The 19,452-nt window shown below is 48.2% G+C and overlaps 1 protein-coding gene and 1 long non-coding RNA gene across 8 annotated transcripts in view, besides 1 other annotated feature; one reads left to right on the plus strand and one right to left on the minus strand.

Annotated features, from left to right (window-relative positions):
- Window positions 1,197-19,452, minus strand: part of VPS53 (VPS53 subunit of GARP complex) — a 206,172-nt gene continuing 187,916 nt past the window's right edge. For 6 of the 7 annotated variants that reach the window (XM_047436345.1, XM_047436344.1, XM_047436346.1 and 3 more), the window contains 4 exons: window positions 14,130-14,267; window positions 12,355-12,459; window positions 10,469-11,827; window positions 1,197-5,154 (listed from right to left, as the gene is read on the minus strand). In XM_047436345.1, the coding sequence (XP_047292301.1) occupies window positions 11,657-11,827; window positions 12,355-12,459; window positions 14,130-14,267 (414 nt within the window). In that variant the 3' untranslated portion in view covers window positions 1,197-5,154; window positions 10,469-11,656. Of the gene's footprint in view, window positions 11,828-12,354; window positions 12,460-14,129; window positions 14,268-19,452 lie in introns of all 7 variants that reach the window. The other variant, NM_001128159.3, reaches the window with a different exon arrangement.
- Window positions 13,010-13,511: an enhancer, noted in NCBI's record as "H3K27ac hESC enhancer chr17:423721-424222 (GRCh37/hg19 assembly coordinates)". NCBI's record gives its function as "activates a minimal SCP1, AML or CMV promoter by ChIP-STARR-seq in naive H9 embryonic stem cells {active_cell/tissue: H9 hESC(naive)}" and the evidence as "EXISTENCE:reporter gene assay evidence [ECO:0000049][PMID:30033119]".
- The window catches only part of VPS53-AS1 (VPS53 antisense RNA 1), a 28,617-nt gene continuing 24,430 nt past the window's right edge, over window positions 15,266-19,452 (plus strand). Inside the window, exon 1 of the long non-coding RNA XR_007065570.1 lies at window positions 15,266-15,958. This is a non-coding gene — a long non-coding RNA (VPS53 antisense RNA 1). The remainder of the gene's footprint in view (window positions 15,959-19,452) is intronic.

A 19,452-nucleotide genomic window follows, 5' to 3' on the forward strand; every position in this document is an offset into this window, starting at 1 on the left:
AAACCTCTTGAGATCTCAGCATCCCATCTACAAATGGAGGGACTTTGACAAAGTTCCCAACACGGAAACAAACACACCACCCAACCCCGATGCTCTAATTCCAACCTTCATGCCCCAATTCTGAGTTTCCCAACTGGAATGCTGGGGCCACCGCAAAGGTATCCAGCAAATGGCCAGATACTGATCCCTTTAGCCTTGGGGCTGTGGAGGGAGGGAGGTGTCCCCAGGCCCATCACTTCCGGCCCCAGCAGCCTCTTCTGTTGAGGGAAGAGGAGTTACTCATGTCGTCACTTCTGTTTCAAGTCCTGAAAAGGTCGGGAAGCATTGCCTACACAGTCATGCGAGGTCTCAAGCACAAGATTTGGGGCTTTTGGAAGGATTGGGTTCTTCTGATCGCCCACCTCCCTCTGACCAAGCCCCTTCTCCATCCCAGTGACACTGCTTTGTTCTTAGTACTGTCTCCCTTGCACCAGGGGTTACTCAGAGGGTTCTCAGATGTTCTTTCCAAAGGCCACAAGGCCTCGTCTCAGTTGTGCCCCACAGCCTTATGGGTCGAGCATCCGAAATACAAAATGCTCCAAAATCCAAAATATTTTGAGTGCTGACATGACACCCAAAGGAAGTGCTCACTGAAGCGATTTGGATTTGGGATTTTCCAATTAGGGATGCTGAAGTGGCATGTACATAATACACATATTCCAAAATCAAAAAAAAGCTGAACTCCAAAACACTCCTGGGCCCAAGCATCTCAGATTAGGGATGCTCAACCTGTATTTGCACAGAATTTGGGAGAGAGTTTAGGTGCTATTGTTGAATGGGTGGCTACCTCAAGTCAAACGGTGCCCTTTCCTGTACTAGGTGACAGTGCCAAGCCTGACCTCCCCTCTAAGGTCAGAAAAACAATGAGCAACGTGCGTCAATGAGGGCAGCAGCTTCCAAACAGACACCTGGGGAAACCTGGAAATCTTCAGTGATGTTTTGGTGGAGTGAGAACCTCTACAAAGGTTTGATTCTAACTTCACTTTTAAAATGCATTTAGTTTTAGTTCTAAAAACTAAACATTAAAAATGGTAATAACGCAACGCGCATCCTCAAATGTCTTCTGGGGGCAAATGTAAGATGTCGGAGGCCCTTGCTTCTGTTAACCTCTTTCTCCAAGGGCTGTTCACGGCCATGAAGACTTCAGGAGACAAGGAGCCTGTTACCATCTCTGTTTAATTGAAGAGCCTCTACCATTGCAAGAAGAGCTGTTTAAAACAAAACAAAATGGATACTATTTGAAAATTCTTAGCTGGATTAAATCAAGATTTCTCTATTCTGTGCAACCCAGAAGTAAACTGGGGTTGATACACACACATTTTCATCCATAACCTTGGTTTAAAGTGCTTCCTATTTGCTGGAATAGTTTTCAATGCTTTTACTGATTTCTTCTGAAAAATATTTGAACTCATAAAATGTATTCATAAAATACTTTTATCTATTTTGTATAGAGGGAATCCAATGTAAAATTTTGTCCCATAAATTTGAAAACTGCTGGTGAAGTACAAAAGGCATGGATGTTGGAATGAAGGCTGGAGCCAAATCCTGGCTCGCCCCCTTACTAGTCACATAGCAAATCCTGGCTCACCCCTCACTAGTCACATATCAAATCCTGTCTCACCCCTCACCAGTCACATATCAAATCCTGCCTCACCCCCTTACTAGTCACATATCAAATCCTGCCTCACCCCCTTACTAGTCACATATCAAATCCTGGCTCACTCGTCACTAGTCACATATCAAATCCTGGCTGGCTCACCCCTTACTAGCCACATATCAAATCCTGGCTGACCCCTCACTAGGTACATATCGAATCCTGGCTCACCCCTCACTAGTCACATATTGAATCCTGGCTCACCCCTCACTAGTCACATGTCAAATCCTGGCTCACCCCTCACTAGTCACATATCAAATCCTGGCTGACCCCTTACTAGTCACGTATCGAATCCTGGCTGACCCCCTGACTAGTCACGTATCAAATCCTGGCTGACCCCTTACTAGTCACATATCAAATCCTGGCTCGCCCCTCAGTAGCCACATATCAAATCCTGGCTCACTCCTCACTACTCACATATCGAATCCTGGCTCACCCCTCACTAGTCACGTATGGAATCCTGGCTCGCCCCTCACTGGTCACGTATCGCATCCTGGCTCGCCCCTCACTGGTCACGTATCGAATCCTGGCTCGCCCCTCACTGGTCACGTATTGAATCCTGGCTCACCCCTCACTTGTCACGTATTGAATCCTGGCTCACCCCCTTACTAGTCACATATCAAATCCTGGCTCGCCCCTCACTAGCCACATATCAAATCCTGACTGGCTAACCCCTCACTAACCACATATCAAATCCTGACTGGCTCCACCCCTCACCAGTCACATATCAAATCCTGGCTCGCCCCTCACCAGTCACATATCAAATCCTGGCTCGCCCCTCACCAGTCACATATCAAATCCTGGCTCGCCCCTCACCAGTCACATATCAAATCCTGGCTCGCCCCTCACCAGTCACATATCAAATCCTGGCTCGCCCCTCACCAGTCACATATCAAATCCTGGCTCGCCCCTCACCAGTCACATATCAAATCCTGGCTCGCCCCTCACCAGTCACATATCAAATCCTGGCTCGCCCCTCACCAGTCACATATCAAATCCTGGCTCGCCCCTCACCAGTCACATATCAAATCCTGGCTCGCCCCTCACCAGTCACATATCAAATCCTGGCTCGCCCCTCACCAGTCACATATCAAATCCTGGCTCGCCCCTCACTAGTCACATATCAAATCCTGTCTCGCCCCTCACTAGTCACATATCAAATCTTGGCTGACCCCTTACTAGTCACATATCGAATCCTGGCTCGCCCCTCACTAGTCACATATCAAATCCTGGCTTGTCCCCTTGCTAGTCACGTATCAAATCCTGGCCGACCCCTTACTAGTCCCATATGAAATCCTGGCTGACCCCTTACTAGTCACATATTGAATCCTGGCTGACCCCTTACTAGTCACACATCGAATCCTGGCTCACCCCTCACTAGGCACATATCCTTGGGCCTGTCACTTACCCTCTTTGAGCCTCCAAGTCCCGTCCACTAAACGGAGCTTAACTTAGCAGGAATTTCATCCGATGAGATAATGTATCCAGGACACAGTAAATACACAGTTACCTTTTCCTTCCCACCCCACCAACATGTACAGATAGCACTGAATTGCCCAGGCCCTCTCATGACCTAAGATACCACATGCAGGCCACACAGCAGCTGGACTGTGCAGCCAGGGCCCAGGGCTACCCCAACTGACCTCCACTCCCCTCAGCACCCTCCTCTGGCCTCCGAGCTAGCCAGCTGCTGATCCAAAGCTCTGGATCCTTTAGGGCTGTGCAAAGATGTGACAGGCATGGGTATGAGGCTGTGGGGGACTCTGTGTGTAAACTGATGTTTCTTTGTATAGCATTTGATATTCGGTGTGGGTATGAGGTTGTGGGGGGCTCTGTGTGTAAACTGATGTTTCTTTATACAGCATTTGATATTGGGTGTAGGTATGAGGCTGTGGGGGACTCTGTGTAAACAGATGTTTTCTTTATATAGCATTTGATATGTATTCCATTTGCCTTCTAAAGCCCTCCAGTGGCTGCTCCAGTTGGTCCACTGCAGTGCTTGATTTTGTGAAGAACCCTGTGGAATGTGGTCTCTGGCAGCTGAGAAGTGCCTTCCTTTTCCATCAGCGCAAGGCAAACACATGAAGGGAGCTGGGGTTTCTTGCCACCATTTCACCTGAGACCCCTGAAAGCTGCAGCCCACACTGCAAATACTTTTCTTGGCCCTGGAAGTAGAGGGAAGTTTGTTGAGAAGCTGTTCTTAATTTCTCACTTGTTGAAAAATTACCCAAAACAGGAGGCAAGACAATTGTGCAAATTCCATTTGATGACTGAGCAGAAGCTCCCAGAACCCTCGGATGAAGTGAGCAGCATTCCCAGGAGGCGGGACGTTGGACGCTATTTTTATTTTAACATCTCATATTGCCCCAGGTTCTCTGAGTCAACACCCTCAAAGGGGACAGACAGAAACAGAAAGGAACTTTTGGGCTGATTATAAGGATTCAGCTGGCCTTGGGAAAAGTCTAAACATCTTTGAAACACAATTGGAAAGTAATCCAAACAGCCTGTGAGCTCAGGCTTCCCAGTTAGAACTGCCTGTCCCAAGTTAATCTTGCTTAGTTTTTTGGGGGGCATCATACCTAAAGAAGAAGAAGAAGAAAAAAGGCAAGAATAAGTAAAAGGAAAAAAAAGAAAAAGAAAGGCAGGCAAGAATTTTTGTCCCTGTCGGGAGAAGAGTCTGGTCTGTGGACACCAGACACCTAAGCAAGTTTCTTGGAAGGGAGGCTTTGGCAACCCTCGCAATTCGCATTCACAGGAGACATGCCCTATTTTCCACAACAGGCAGCCTCGCCACCAGCCCCAGGAGGGAGGAAGCTCTCTTCTCAGTGTCTGCAGGTTTATCCCTAAATGCTACGGAAGCAGCAGCTGCCAGGGGAAGGGGATACTGCTCAGTCTTTTAAAACTCTCGTGTAAGCTTGATATTACAGTCATGACCTAAAAAGGCAAAGACCAGATATGCGGAGCTCGCTGCGGATGTAGCCTGCACACGGCCGCAGGATTTGTCACCACTCATCCATGTTTAAAAAAGCCAGTCCAGGCAAGACAGCCACAGGCTCCCGCCCACAAGTGATCACGAACACACTTCACACTGCCTTATGGCAGAGCAAGTGCATATAGCCCGGTCTTGTGTGACCTTCACAGCCAATATTCATTATAATCCCCTCTCACCAATATTGAAAATGGATGCTCAGGGGATCAGTGACTCGCCTGGTGTCAAAGTGCCAGGTCCAAATCAAGACCTGCAGATCAAGTCTTCTGTGGATGCTTCCAATCCCAGGCTGCTTTCATTTCTGATGGACACGTCCTTCATGTCCCACAGATCCATGGATCGCCGGCATCTTCCCTCCTGTTCACATAGGTGAGAAGGAAGGAGCTGGCAGGCAATGCCCTTCCAGGTGGGCTACAGGGAAGGTTCTTTTCTCATTAGGTTGATCCCTTGGCTTCCCTAGTAAAGTGGGGAGCTGTTGAAAAGAAAGAATGGAAACGAGGTAATGATCCTGGAGCCTAATGGAAGGGCCGCAGCCAGTTTTCCCCTGTTGAAAGGACACAGGACTTCCCGAAGAGTTTTCATGGCAAAAACGTCCAACCAGCTACTAAGGAAACAGGATGGACTCATGCGTGCAGGAGAGAAATCACTAAAGGACACAAGACTTCCCAAAGAGTTTTCATGGCAAAACGTCCATCCAGCTACTAAGGAAACAGGATGGACTCATGCGTGCAGGAGAGAAATCACTTGGCCGTCACTGGAAGAGCAGGCTGTGATGGGAACGGTAAGGACAGAGAAGGGAAGGTTCACAGGATAGAAATTCACAGGGCAAGTAGGGTTCCAAGTCAGAAGCAAAACACTTTACACAACATTACAGACAGGCTCCACTGCAACTGGGCAGGTCAGGACTGGGCTCAGTCGGCCACATTCTGCTCCCACGCGTTGCTTCCTTAGACTGTCAGGGAAGGGAGAAGGGCAGCCACCAGGAGCGGCCAGGGTCACGGACTTGCTACTTCTTTCCTAGAGTCTGTTCTGTTTTCTGTCAGCAGTAAGGAAATACATTCTAGCAAATGACATCCAGTAATGCTTTAATTAACTGCAGTATTTTGTGCTCCAACATGCAGGCAGAAATCACTTCCAGATGGAGAAAATGAAAGCTATTTACACAAAGAAGCAATCCCTTTATTTTAAGGAAATTTATATCTCCCAAAGGTGTAGAACTTCGAGGGTCCAAGAGGCTATTCTGATGAATACTAAAACAGGACTGGGAATTTTTATTTAATATATAAAATGTCATCGTACCCTTCATGTAGGCCAGCATTTCAGGTGTCCATGTTTCTAAGGCTTTTGCTTAAATTGCCCATTGGAGCTCTATTTTATTTTTAGGAATCTGACTTGGAGTAGACGAGAAGTGTGAGACACTTGCTGTCACCCTCAAGCAGGCAGGTTGTTCTGAGTGCTCTTCCTAGCGAAGGAATCCCATTTCCAGCAGGTTATTCCGAGTGCTCTTCCTAGCGAAGGAATCCCATTTCCAGCAGGTTATTCCGAGTGCTCTTCCTAGGGAAGGAATCTCATTTCCAGCAGGTTATTCCGAGTGCTCTTCCTAGGGAAGGAATCCCATTTCCAGCAGGTTATTCCGAGTGCTCTTCCTAGCGAAGGAATCCCATTTCCAGCAGGTTATTCCGAGTGCTCTTCCTAGCGAAGGAATCCCATTTCCAGCAGGTTATTCCGAGTGCTCTTCCTAGCGAAGGAATCTCATTTCCAGCAGGTTATTCCGAGTGCTCTTCCTAGCGAAGGAATCCCATTTCCAGCAGGTTATTCCGAGTGCTCTTCCTAGCGAAGGAATCTCATTTCCAGCAGGTTATTCCGAGTGCTCTTCCTAGCGAAGGAATCCCATTTCCAGCAGGTTATTCCGAGTGCTCTTCCTAGGGAAGGAATCTCATTTCCAGCAGGTTATTCCGAGTGCTCTTCCTAGCGAAGGAATCCCATTTCCAGCAGGTTATTCCGAGTGCTCTTCCTAGCGAAGGAATCCCATTTCCAGCAGGTTATTCCGAGTGCTCTTCCTAGCGAAGGAACCCCATTTCCAGCAGGTTATTCCGAGTGCTCTTCCTAGGGAAGGAACCCCATTTCCAGCAGGTTATTCCGAGTGCTCTTCCTAGGGAAGGAACCCCATTTCCAGCAGGTTATTCCGAGTGCTCTTCCTAGGTAAGGAATCCCATTTCCAGCAGGTTATTCCGAGTGCTCTTCCTAGGTAAGGAATCCCATTTCCAGCAGGTTATTCTGAGTGCTCTTCCTAGCCAAGGAATCCCATTTCCAGCAGGTTATTCTGAGTGCTCTTCCTAGCCAAGGAATCCCATTTCCAGCAGGTTATTCTGAGTGCTCTTCCTAGGGAAGGAACCCCATTTCCAGCAGGTTATTCCGAGTGCTCTTCCTAGAGAAGGAACCCCATTTCCAGCTGTGCACATGCAGCATTTCCCCTGGCATTCTTTCAACAGGGAACCAGGTCTCCTCATCCGATGGCAATTCAGGAAGGGTTGGTGTCATACCCTGCATCGAGCAGCAGCCTCGGACCTGCCCCCACGCTCTGCGTGCCCTGTACTGGTCATGCTGGTCTCAGCTTGTCTGCTCTCAGTCCTGTCTGATCTGCACAGAGGAGCCACCCTAGACATAAGAAATCAGGCACCCCTTCTCGGGGGTGGGCAGAGCCCTGGGTACTGGCTCTTTGTTCTTCGAGAGAGGAAGGAGTGGCGGTAGTTAGCTTCAATCCCTGAGCTGGGTTTGGAGATCAGAACACCTTGTCCATTGCGGCTCCTGTTTCATTGTTAAGAGTCCACACAGGATGTTCTCTGGCCTGGACACCGCTAAGCCAGCTTTCAGACAAGTCCCCTCAGTAAGAGCAGAGTGAACTCTTTATTGATTATACAAATTACCACTATTTATTTTAAACCCAAAGTGACTTCAAAGTTGTTTTTTGGTTTTTAAAGGGGCTACAGAAAATGGACTGAGGGGAAGGAATGGGCACAATATCTAGGTCTAGCTGAATCACAGAGCTGTTAGCTGCTGCTTTCATCCACAGGTACTCCTTTTACCTTATTATTTTTTAGAGAGTCTTGCTCCGTCACCCAGGCAGGAGTGCAATGGCATGATCTCGGCTCACTGCAGCCTCTGCCTCCTGGGTTCAAGCGATCCTCCTGCTTCAGCCTCCTGAGTAGCTGGGATTACAGGCGCCCACCACCACGCCTGGCTAATTTTGTATTTTTAGTAAAGACAGGGTTTCACCATGTCGGCCAGGCTGGTCTCGAACTCCTGACCTCACATGATCCACCTGCCTCGGCCTCCCAAAGTGCTGGGATTACCAGTGTGAGCCACCATGCCCGGCCTATTTTTTAATAGAGATGGGGTCTCACTCTGTTGCCCAGGCTTGTCTTGAAGTCCTGGGCTCAAGCAATCTTCCCACCTCAGCCTCTCAAAGCACTGGCATTACAGGTGTGATGCCACAGTACCCGGCCTAGGGTGCCCCTTTGATACGTTATTTTTGAAGTGATGTTAATAAATAAAGCTTCTGCTTGGGGGTTGGTCATCAAAACAAGAAGAATCCTCATCAGTATGGAGAGAGCCCAATCCTGGGCATGGTCCCCACCACCACCAAAAGTCTTTTTTTTTTAACTGAGTCTCACTCTGTCTCCCAGGCTGGAGTGCAGTGGCGGGACCTCGGCTCACTGCAACCTCCGCCTCCCGGATTCAACTGATTCCCCTGCCTCAGCCTCCCAAGTAGCTGGGATTACAGGCACCCGCCACCTGCCTGCTTTTTTTTTTTTTTTTTTTGTATTTTTAGTAGAGATGGGATTTTGCCATGTTGGCCAGGCTGGTCTCAAACTCGTGACCTCATGTGATCCGCCCACCTCGGCCTCCCAAAGTGCTGGGATTACAGGCGTGAGCCACCGCGCCTGACCCAACACAAGTTTAAAATGAAAGCTGTTATCAGTAGAGAATCTTCACCACGTTGGCACCAGCTCAAGTGTAGTGTCGGCGCACTTTTAGCTTAGAGTCAGAAAAATAGACATGTATGAAAATGCGTGGCAGGAGCCCTTCCATAAAGCAAATCTCTCTGTTGCAGTGGTTCTTAACAAGGTGTAAACGTTATAACTACCTATGGAACTTTTAAACCTGTATGCCAGGCCCCATCCAAACTTACTGACTCAAAATCTCCGGGCATCTGTTTTTTTGTTTGTTTTGAGATAGAGTCTCACTCTGTCGCCAGGCTGGAGTGCAGTGGCGTGATCTCGGCTCACTGCAATCTTTGCCTCCCGGGTTCAAGCGATTCTCCTGCCTCAGCCTCCCAAGTAGCTGGGAGGTGTGCACGCCACCACACCCCGGTAATTTTTGTATTTTTTGTAGAGATGGGGTTTCACCATATTGGCAAGGATGGTCTCAATTTCCTGCGCTTGTGATCCGCCCGCCTCAGCCTCCCCAAGTGCTGGGATTCCAGGCGTGAGCCACGGCGCCCGGCCGGCATCTGTAGATTTTAAAAGGCCCCAGTGGTTCTGATGCACACCCCCAGAAGAGAAACACAGCGTCTCTACACAGTACTGAGTCCCCATCAAGGAGACATTTAACAGAAACTCCTACTGACATCCATTGGTTCCTTGGGGATTACTGACAATGTAACAAATCAAGACAGCAACTTCCCTGGCTGTGACCACCAACTGTGGAAAACAGCAGCTTGATAGCTCAATGCTGTGATGGAGCCGTCCGGAAAACGACTCCTCAACAATGAACCAAAAAGAGAAGTGGTGATCTGTACACAAACGCCAGGAGTGACAAGAACCAGGTGCAGGAGTCCACTGGCTTTCCCAGCTCTCCTGGGTTGAGGACAGACGGCTGAACTGGCTGTGCTATTTGGAGATGGGCCCCACCGCCCCTTTTCAACTGTACGGCTCAGGCTGCTTAACCATAGCAACTCCATGGGCTGGGGTGGGGGCATCTACAGGGCTTCCTGGGGGCTCTCCCGACTGCCGCCCCCCGCCCTTGTCTTATTTGGAATCTTTTCCTAATAGACCTCAACTGAAGGCCGCATCTCCTTCTCGCAACACTTCTTTTCTCCTCCGCATTCTCAAATTTGAGACGCTTGATGCGTGAGAGTCAAACCAGCTAGCAAGGACAGCCTGGAAGCCGATGAAGAAATGACACTCAGGATCAGAGCTGGACGGCATCGGGGAGAAAGCCTGGCAGAGAGGGCAGGGGCACAGAGCAGTGGTTATGTTGGGAAACAAGGTGGGGATGAGGAAATCAGGTTTCCAGGCAGATTTCCAAACCTTATTCCTACTGTACGGCTGTTACAAGTTTTATGGATTTTAAGGAAATTTCCTCTATCCTGAAAACTTTTTGAGAAGGGGTCTTGCTCTGTCACCCAGGCTGGAGTGCAGTGGTGAAATCTTGGCTCACTGCAGCCTCCACCTCCCGGGTTTAAGTGATTCTCCTGCCTCAGCCTCCCCAGTAGCTGGGATTACAGGCACTCGCCATGACACCCGGCTAATTTTTTTTATTTTTAGTTGAGACAGGGTTTCGCCATGTTGGGCAGGCTGGTCTCGAATTCCTGACCTCAGGTGATCCACCTGCCTCAGCCTCCCAAAGTGCTGTGATTACAGGCATGAGCCACCACACCCAGCCAATTTTTTGTATTTTTGGTTTTGCCAGGTTGCCCAGACTGGTCTCAAACTCCTGAGCTCAAGCAATCTGCCCACCTCAGCCTCCCTAGCAGTTGGGACTACAGGTGCATGCCACCACACCTTGCAAATTTTTATTTTTGTAGACATCTGTATGTTGCCCAGGCTGGTCTCAAACTCCTGGACTCAAGTGATCCTCCTGCCTTGGTCTCCCAAAGTGTTGCGACTACAGGCATGAGCCGCCGTGCCTGGCAAGATATCATTCTTCAGCAAAAGCAGGCAGCAACAGCAGCGGTTTGCCTGTAGCTGTGGTCATGGTTAACTGAGGCCTGGTTTCAAGGGAACCGAGTGAATCAGGGTTAACGGCTTGATATGCTGCCATTCTCTGGATGCAGGATGACATGAGAGGTCGGGAGCAGTCTCTTCGGCAAGCCCTGCTGCAGAGAGCCCGCGGTGGACAGGAAGGGCGGGGGGGGCGGGCAGGCTGCGTGCCAGGCCAGGCTCTCAGCCTGGTCTTTAAGGTCCATATTCTGTTCCTGAGGCATCCAGAACCCCAGACTCCTTCTCATAACACAGGAACACATCACTGGGATGCTGCACATCACCTTTGCTATTTCAGATGACGCTGGAAAGTGCTGTGGACCTGAAGGTGAGTGGGCAGAAAGGGGTTTGAGAGTATGGACTTCCTGGGCGTTCCCATGGCTTCATCTGATGAGAAAACCTAGGAAACGTCTTCCAAGTGAACTTCCTGGTTTCCCTTCCCTAGAAACCAGGAGCAGGGTGGGAGTAAAGAAATGGAGGAAGGGGCTGGGCTCGGTGGCTCACGCCTGTAATCCGATACTCAGGAGGCTGAGGCAGGAGAATTGCTTGAACCTGGGAGGCGGAGGTTGCAGTGAGCCGAGATCACGCCACTGCACTCCAGCCTGGGTGACAGAGCGAGACTCTGTCTCAAAAAAAAAAAAAAAAAAAAAAAAAAAGGACGGGTGGGGCCCACGTGTCAAGAGGGTGTGACTGCCATGGGGAGGCTACATGAGTCAAGGGCAGCTCAGGGACCTATCCTCCACTGCTGCCTCTGCTTCACGAACCAGAGATCACCTAAATCGCCCTCTTAGAGCCCAGCCCTTACTCAGCGTCTCCGATTAGGGCAGGAAGTAAGACAGGGCATGGGAGAGACTCAGTAACAACCCACATGTCCCAGGAAGTTTGAAGACCGACGATGTGAGAGTGCCGGGGAGCACAGGAGAGGTTGGGGGCTTCTGGGGAACGGGCGCTGAGGGTCTCCAGCCAGGAGCAAAGGGCCCCTTGCTGCTGCTACAGTCTCTTTTTAATGAGTTTCTCGAGCTTGCGGATGCGTGACGACTCTTGCTCTGGTGTTGGCGCCGTCAGGGACAGTGAGCCGGAGCTTTCTGCCCCCGAGGGCGGTGCGGGGAGCCGCTGGCGCAGGAGTTCCAGCATGCTGCTCTGCTCACTCCTCTTCAGCCCCTGAGGTTGAGAGAGAAACAGAACCGTCACGAAGTCTGGGCCAGAATGGCCCACGGGGGACAGCGCAGTATCTGGATATGGGGTCAGCAGAGGCTCTGGAGACAGCATAGTTACTCCAGGCTGAGGATGAACCGTTTCCTCAAGGGACTCACCATCCCCTGGGTAGTAGCGTGGGAGGAAAAGAGAGGGGAAGAAAAGGTAAAGGAAGGGAAAGAAGCGGCTGACAGAGGAGAAAGGACAGGTCAAGAAGGTGGGAAGGACAACATGCCTGTCCTCATCCCCCTGCCCCTGCCCCATCCTCCCTGTGCAGGTGGTCTCAGCGGGGCATGCAGGGCCTGTCAGAATCCTGAAGTGCACGTGCCCGGGGCCATCCTCCTCCAGAGGCTTCTCTGAATCCGGTTTGCTCTGTGGAGCCAGGCACATGCATTTTGAGAAAGCCCCCCCGGAACTTATATCCCAATTCCCGGTTAAGAACCGCTGAGTGTGAGGGGGATGAGCAGGTGTGGACCAAATGTCCCGGCACAAACCTTCATGTCCAGTATCTTCTGAAAGGTTTCTGTGTTGCAGTCTGTGAGAAGTTTGATGTAGTTGTCAACAAACACCACCAACGGTTCATGAGGGGCCATCACTACCTACAGCGGGAGGAGACAGGAGCAAGCCCCTCAGGAAAACTACCACCACGGGAGGAGACAGGAGCGGGCCCTCAAGAAAACTCACTACCCACCGCAGGAGGAGACGGGAGCGGGCCCTTCAGGAAAACTCACTCCTCACTTGCCCGCCGAGCGCTAAATGGATTCTGAGAGGTTTCCTTAAGCAGCAGCAACCCAGACTAGAAACGCCCCAGTGGCCCATCTCATCTTCACATGCCACTACAGCAATGTCCTAAATTTGCTGAATCCTAAATACACCTGCGCTGCTGTTTGAAGTATGGGTTTCCGGGGCCCTCCTCTAAAGACTCTAATTCAGTAGGCCTGGCTGGAGTCCCAGGTGACTTTTAAACTATCAGGACCATCCGGGAAACCCTGCGTGAGAGGGTCTCCTGTTCCAGGCATTTCACCAGTACACGGTACTTGCTCCTTCTGCCTTGACGTACTATGATTCCTGAGAAATGGGTGGCAAAAGGAGCTGGTATAAGTAAGTGGATTTCTGCAAAAACAAAAATGCCAAAGCTGCCTCACCTTTTGGAGACTTAAAATCTGTAACTTCATGTAACGACTAACTTAAACTATCAATTAACATACAAACAAAGGAAAGGAACGGCACTGCAACCCTTATTCATTTCCGTTTTGTTCTGGAATGCAGTATCTGATTTTCTTTCCCCAGCCGACTGATTTGTTTTGAATTCCTGAGACTGAAGGGAAGAGTGGCGAGGAGGAGTTCACTCAGGCATCCTCTGCCGATAATTCCCAGACCACAGGCTCTCCTCCCCAGCAGTAAGCAGCAGGGAAAGAACATGATGAGGCAGCTTCACCCTCACCTACATGAGCTCTTCACCCTCACCTACATGAGCTGCTTCACCCTCACCTACATGAGCTGCTTCACCCTCACCTACATGAGCTCTTCACCCTCACCTACATGAGCTCTTCACCCTTACCTACATGAGCTGCTTCATCCTCACCCACATCCCACCGGTGTCTGAGGCCCTGCTGCCACTTCCTACTCCTGCCGTCCCTGAGTCATCTGGTTTAGGAAGTGGCCTGAAGAGCCTACAGGTCCTGGGCTTTTAAGACCACATCACCACAGGACCATCTGTTCTCCAGCCCTCATCCCTACTCTTCAAAATAGCTGGAAACCAGAGGCAGATGCGCAGGGCTTCAGACGTTCCTCACTCGAAGTACAGTCTTGTTAAATGGGGCTTTAAAATATCCATTTGCTGATTAGATTCAGTTACTACAACATCTGTTCAGAGTTCATTTAAAGTGGCAGAGTACAGAAAGCCAAAAAGGCTGATGTGGAAGGGAGTAACTGAGAGCTGTGCCTGAAATTCCTGCTGAGAAGCGGAGATCCCTGACATACACTGATTCACAGTGGCAACCACCTAACCTCCAAGCTTGACCACATTTGATCACAAGAGAATCCCACGCCAACAAGAAATTCATTTGTCAGAAGGAATTACTGAGCCCTAATAACTATCCACAGACTTTCAACAATATCTGATGAGGCCAAAATCCAGTCCAGCCCAAGAATGTGGACCATGCTTTGAGGCCGGTGAGGATAGGACCTACCCTGTGCTTTCAAAACCAAGGCTTCTCAGAAAAAGAGATTAAATAAATAACTGGCCCCTTTTAACACAAGCCATCACCTTGAGGATCATCTCAGCCCGGGTCATGCCTTTGACAACGATCTTGGTGTAGCTGGCGGGTGCCTTCCTCACCACCTGCGAGCTGATGGAGGGGAGATCGAGCAGGACCATCTTCAGCGAGTGGGTGTCCAGCAGCAGCTGTGGAGCAAAGCAGAGAGCATTACCGGCCCCTTCCAGCGACCCAGTGCCGAGTGGACTCATGCCGATGAGTCATGTTTTTCTCGTTATACACGTAACACATTCTTGTTGCAAAAAATTGGGGAAATAAACAGAAATATAAAAGAAAAAAATTATGTATAATTCCCATCACCTAGGAGAAACAACATCAAGGAGCCAGCCTATGTGTACGTATATAAAAAACTAAATCAGGGGGCCAGGAGCCGTGGCTCACACCTGTAATCCCAGCACTTCAGGAGGGCCAGGCAGCAGGATCGCTTGAGCTCAGGAATTTGAGACCAGCCTGGGCAACATGGCAAAACCCCGCCTCTACAAAAAATGCAAAAATTAGCCAGGCGTGGGGGTGCGCATCTGTGGTCCCAGCTACTGAGGAAGACTGAGGTGGGTGGATCGCTTAAGCCTGGGAGGTTGAGGCTGCAGTGACTCAAGATTGTGCCACTGTAACTCTCCAGCCTGGGTGACAGAGGGAGACCCTGCCTCAGTAACAAACCACAACTCCTCCATAAAACTAAATCAGAATCATACTGTATGTATATTCAATTTTATAACCTGGTTTTCTCACTTAATATACACAATTTTTATATTCTATTTTCCCATCTTTGCAGTCTTTAAAAAACAAATCAAGGTTTTTAAGTGCACTCTAGCCTGGGCCTCATGGCGAGACCCCATCTCTAAAGAAGAATCGTGATTTAATGGCTGTGCAGTACTCTGTGATGTGTGTGGTTGTGTAAACTTTAAGATCTTTCCAATGGAATGGACCCATTTACACCTCTGCCAGCCATGCAGACTGCACCCTTATCAGCACTGAAAACTCATCAAATCCTGATTATTCATTAGGCAAAAAATAGTAACTCATTATTGTTTTACTTTGAATTTCTCTGGATGTTACTGAGGATGTAGGAGATTTACCCAAATGTAAACATTGTATCCTGGCAACAATCTACCTTTTCCTCTTTGTTTGTTCTGGTTCTCTGGGATGCCAATTATCTAGAAGGACACCCATAGTCCTAAAGGCTCACTGACTGCCGGGAATGACATGAGGAACGTTTTGTCACATTTAATCTGAGTAAAGCCTTACCTACCCTGGATGTTATTTATTGTTCCCATTTTACAGATGAGAAAAAGTTCCAGAGGATTAACAGCTCACCAAACTCATCTCATGCAACGGACGGGGTTAGACAAAAGTTGGACGGGAAGCTGGAATTCATTTCCGGTTGCCAGGTAACGGGGTTAGAGAAAAGGTGGACTGGAAGCTGGAATTCCATTTCCGGTTGCCCAGGTAACGGGGTTAGACAAAAGGTGGAAGGGAAGCTGGAATTCCATTTCCGGTTGCCCAGGTAAATGTCCCTGGGTGGTTTTGGTGACGAGCTCACACTGACTCCTGCTGACTGCCCTGCTCTGCTGCCGCCGCTGCTCTTGGCAACCAGGGAGCAGAGAAATGGCTGAAGACAGAAGGGTGTACTCTGGCCTGTTGAGATGGCTTAGGAGAATGGAACCACATGGTCACCAAGCAGACAACGGCAGCAGTGGGGTGACAGCTCCCAATGCCACCACTCAACTCCGGTGATAACGGCCAAACTTATATTCAGGGCAAGGCCTGTACTCTCTGCCACTGCCTGCTTCTTTGGGAAAGCCTTCTGTAATCCTATCAGGTAGGTGAGAAATGGGACCCTTCAGGCCCTGCGACACTTTGCATCCTCCAATTTCCTATTTACTTTGCTTTGGACAGAAGAATTAATGATTAAAGAGAAACTAAGTAACGACAGATACTATGAACTTAAGGGTTATGGCAATTGTAATTTTAACAATGGTAGAAACATGGGGAAGACGTCAGTGTTTTATGTGGAATAATTTAGGTGTGGTAAGGAATTACACTAAGGTCAGAGCAATTTCATGCAGCTAGTCAAAGGCCTGCACCACGCAGGTCATTCAACTGTAGCCAGCAAAGTGCAGGGCATTTTGGACCTTTCTGGATTTCTAGAGATAGAAATTCTTACTATCCTAGTGTCTGCTTTGTTGAAAAGGCCAAGGGCTCAGAGAAAAGGGTATGCAAACCTCCAGGAGGGGGAATGGCACTGATTGCTCAAGGCCCACGTGAAGAGCCTGGCGTTAGCGCACTTTCCAGAATTCCAGTGGAAATGACTGCTGCTTTTCCTCGGAGGAACCCAGAACAAGCCTCTAAAGCATTCTAGGTGGATTAAATTCTTAGATATAAAAAAGAAAAACTTTAAGAAGAAAATACAGGGCGCAGTGGCTCATGCCTGTAATCCCAGCATTTTGGGAGGCCGAGGCGGGTGGATCATCTGAGGTCAGGAGTTCGAGACCAGCCTGGCCAACATGGAGAAACCCCATCTCTACTAAAAATACAAAAATTAGCCGGGTGTGGTGGCGCATGCCTGTAATCCCAGCTACTCGGGAGGCTGAGGCAGGAGAATTGCTTGAACCTGGGAGGTTTGCGCTACAGCCTGGGTGACAGAACAAGACACTGTCTCAAAAAAATAAATACATAAAAAATAAAAAATAAAAAAGAAGAAGAAGAAGAAAATACAGAGATTATTTTCATTGCTTATGGGTGGAGAAGAATGTCAAACATCAGAAAGAATGAACCACCTACCCTAAAATGAAAGGCATCTATATCAGAAGAAACAAACAAAGTAAAAGACAAGACATAAATCAGGAGAAGATACGTGCAACGTTGACAAGGGAACGGGGTTCCGAACATGAAGATTCCTACACATCAACAGGAAAAGCACAAACTATCCCAACAGCGACACAACAACAGGCAAACAATACTAACACCGGATTCACAAAAGAGGAAACTCAAATGCCCGAAAGGCATATGAAATGACACGCAACCTGGTTAGTAACTGGGAAATGCAAATTAAAACCACAGATGTACACCATAATACATCCATCAGAGTCAGAAGTAAACAGATTATTTGATAATCAAGTGTGGGCACGGCCATGGCACTGAAATTCACAAATGTACACCGTAATACACCCATCAGAGTCAGAAGTAAACAGGTTGATAATCTAGTGTGGGCACGGCCACACTGAAATTCAGACTAGTGGTGACAGTAGAAGTTAGTTCAAGCACGTTGGGGGAAATTTAGCAACATTTCCTTAGCTGGAGATGTGTATCACCCATAACACAGCATTAATACTTATATCCATTAGAGGAATTCTTGCCCATGTAAAAACGTTCCCTGCATCCGCTATTTATAAAAGCAAAAGTTTGGAAACAACCTACACGTCCATTGACAGTGGAATGAATAAACAAATGACAGCACATTCGTGCAATGGAATATGCTGCTGAGGTGAAAATGAATGGGTGCACACAGCATGCATTAACATGCATAAATCTCAGAAAATAGTAAGTTGGGCAAAAAAAAGCAAGTGGGGAAATGATATGTCTAATGCCATTTATATAGTTTTAAAATATGCAAAACAAAATCATATATCATTTGTGAATATATACACATATATCAAAACACATATGAGAATAAAATCAAAATCAGGACAGTGTTTACTTTGGGGCATGGAGGAAGAGATGGGCAGGGTGGGGTTCATGGGGGCGGTCTTCAGCAATAACTGTAATGATTTACTTTACATAAAAATGATCTAAAGCAGGCAGGGTGTGGCAGCTCATGCCTGTAATCCCAGCATTTTGGGAGGCTGAGGCAGAAGGATCACTTGAGGCTACGAATTCAAGATTACCCTGGGCAACACAGTGAGACCTTGTCTCTACAAAAACAAAAATAATAAGATTAGACAGGCACAGTGGCACACACTTGTAGTCTCAGCTACTTAGGAGGCTGAGGTGGGAAGATGGCTTAAGCCCAGGAATTCCAGGTTGCAGTGAGCTATGATGGCACCATTGCACCCCAGCCTGGGAGACAGAGTGGGACCCTGTCTCTTAAGAAAAGAAAAAAAAAATGGGCCAGGCGCGGTGTCTCATGCCTGCAATCCCAGAACTTTGGGAGGCTGAGGTGGGAGGATCACTTAAGGTCAGGAATTTGAGACCAGCCTGGCCAACATGGTGAGACCCCATCTCTACTAAAATACAAAAATTAGCCAGATATGGTGGTGCACACCTGTAATCCCAGCTACTCGGGAGGCTGAGGCAGGAGAATTGCTTGAACTCGGGAGGTGAAGGTTGCAGTGAGCCGAGATCGCGCCATTGTACTCCAGACTGGGCAACACGGTGAGACATTTTCTCAAAAAAAAAAAAAAAAAAAAAAAAGATGTAAAGTAAATGTGGAAACATGTTACATATTTTGCTGAGCTGAGTAGTTAGTTACTGTTTTTTACATTATTTTCTGTACATTAATTAACTGGAATTTTTGTTTAAAGACTACCATTCAGGACTCAACTCTGTCTTCCATGTAGCAAATTTTGAGAGCCTTGTCAAAATCAAAGCCATGTCTTAGCATTCATTTGTTGGTAGGAAAAAAAAAATCAGTCATTATATTTTAAAGCATATGGAGATATTTCCTACTTTTCTACTTCCCAGAGATACATTATATGCATAAATAATTGTACAGTCTTAAATGACAGGAAGGGTTTGAATGCACCAGGCATAATTCTCTAGTGTCCCTCATATACAGGGAGATATGACACTTTCATTCCCTGGCCAGTCACCATAAAATTCTGTCTTTACCAGACACTGAGAGGTGAAAACCCTGGTCTCAGGTTTTATACATAAAGCAAGGCAGTCAGAAAAGGCGGGAATGAGCCTGACAGATTTGGCGGCTGTCTGTGCAAAGACAAGACAGAAAGGTCCCATTTATCATGAAAATCTGCTAGTTTTCAACTTTGAAATAGTTGATAATTCATCTTCTTAGGCATGAGACATTGGGCAAGGGGTGGCTATTGCCACATTCATTTCTGCCTCAGCGATAATTTCTGGGGCAGTGTGGGCTGGCTAATGTTGTTGATGGGATGTGGGGGTGCAAGGGTGGCCAGTATGCCATGCCTGTGAAGGCTGATCACCCAGCAATGGAAATCTTTGAGAGGGGCCCTTTACTTCCCGAGGAGCCTCCTACAATTCTTGGGGACATGATGACTATCAACAGTGATGAAAATTTTGCGTAAATAAGATACAGGCCCACACTCCTAGAAGACAAAGAACCATGTGAACAAAACC

This window comes from Homo sapiens, chromosome 17 (genome assembly GCF_000001405.40).
Source record: "Homo sapiens chromosome 17, GRCh38.p14 Primary Assembly".
NCBI classification, from domain to species: Eukaryota; Metazoa; Chordata; class Mammalia; order Primates; family Hominidae; genus Homo; species Homo sapiens.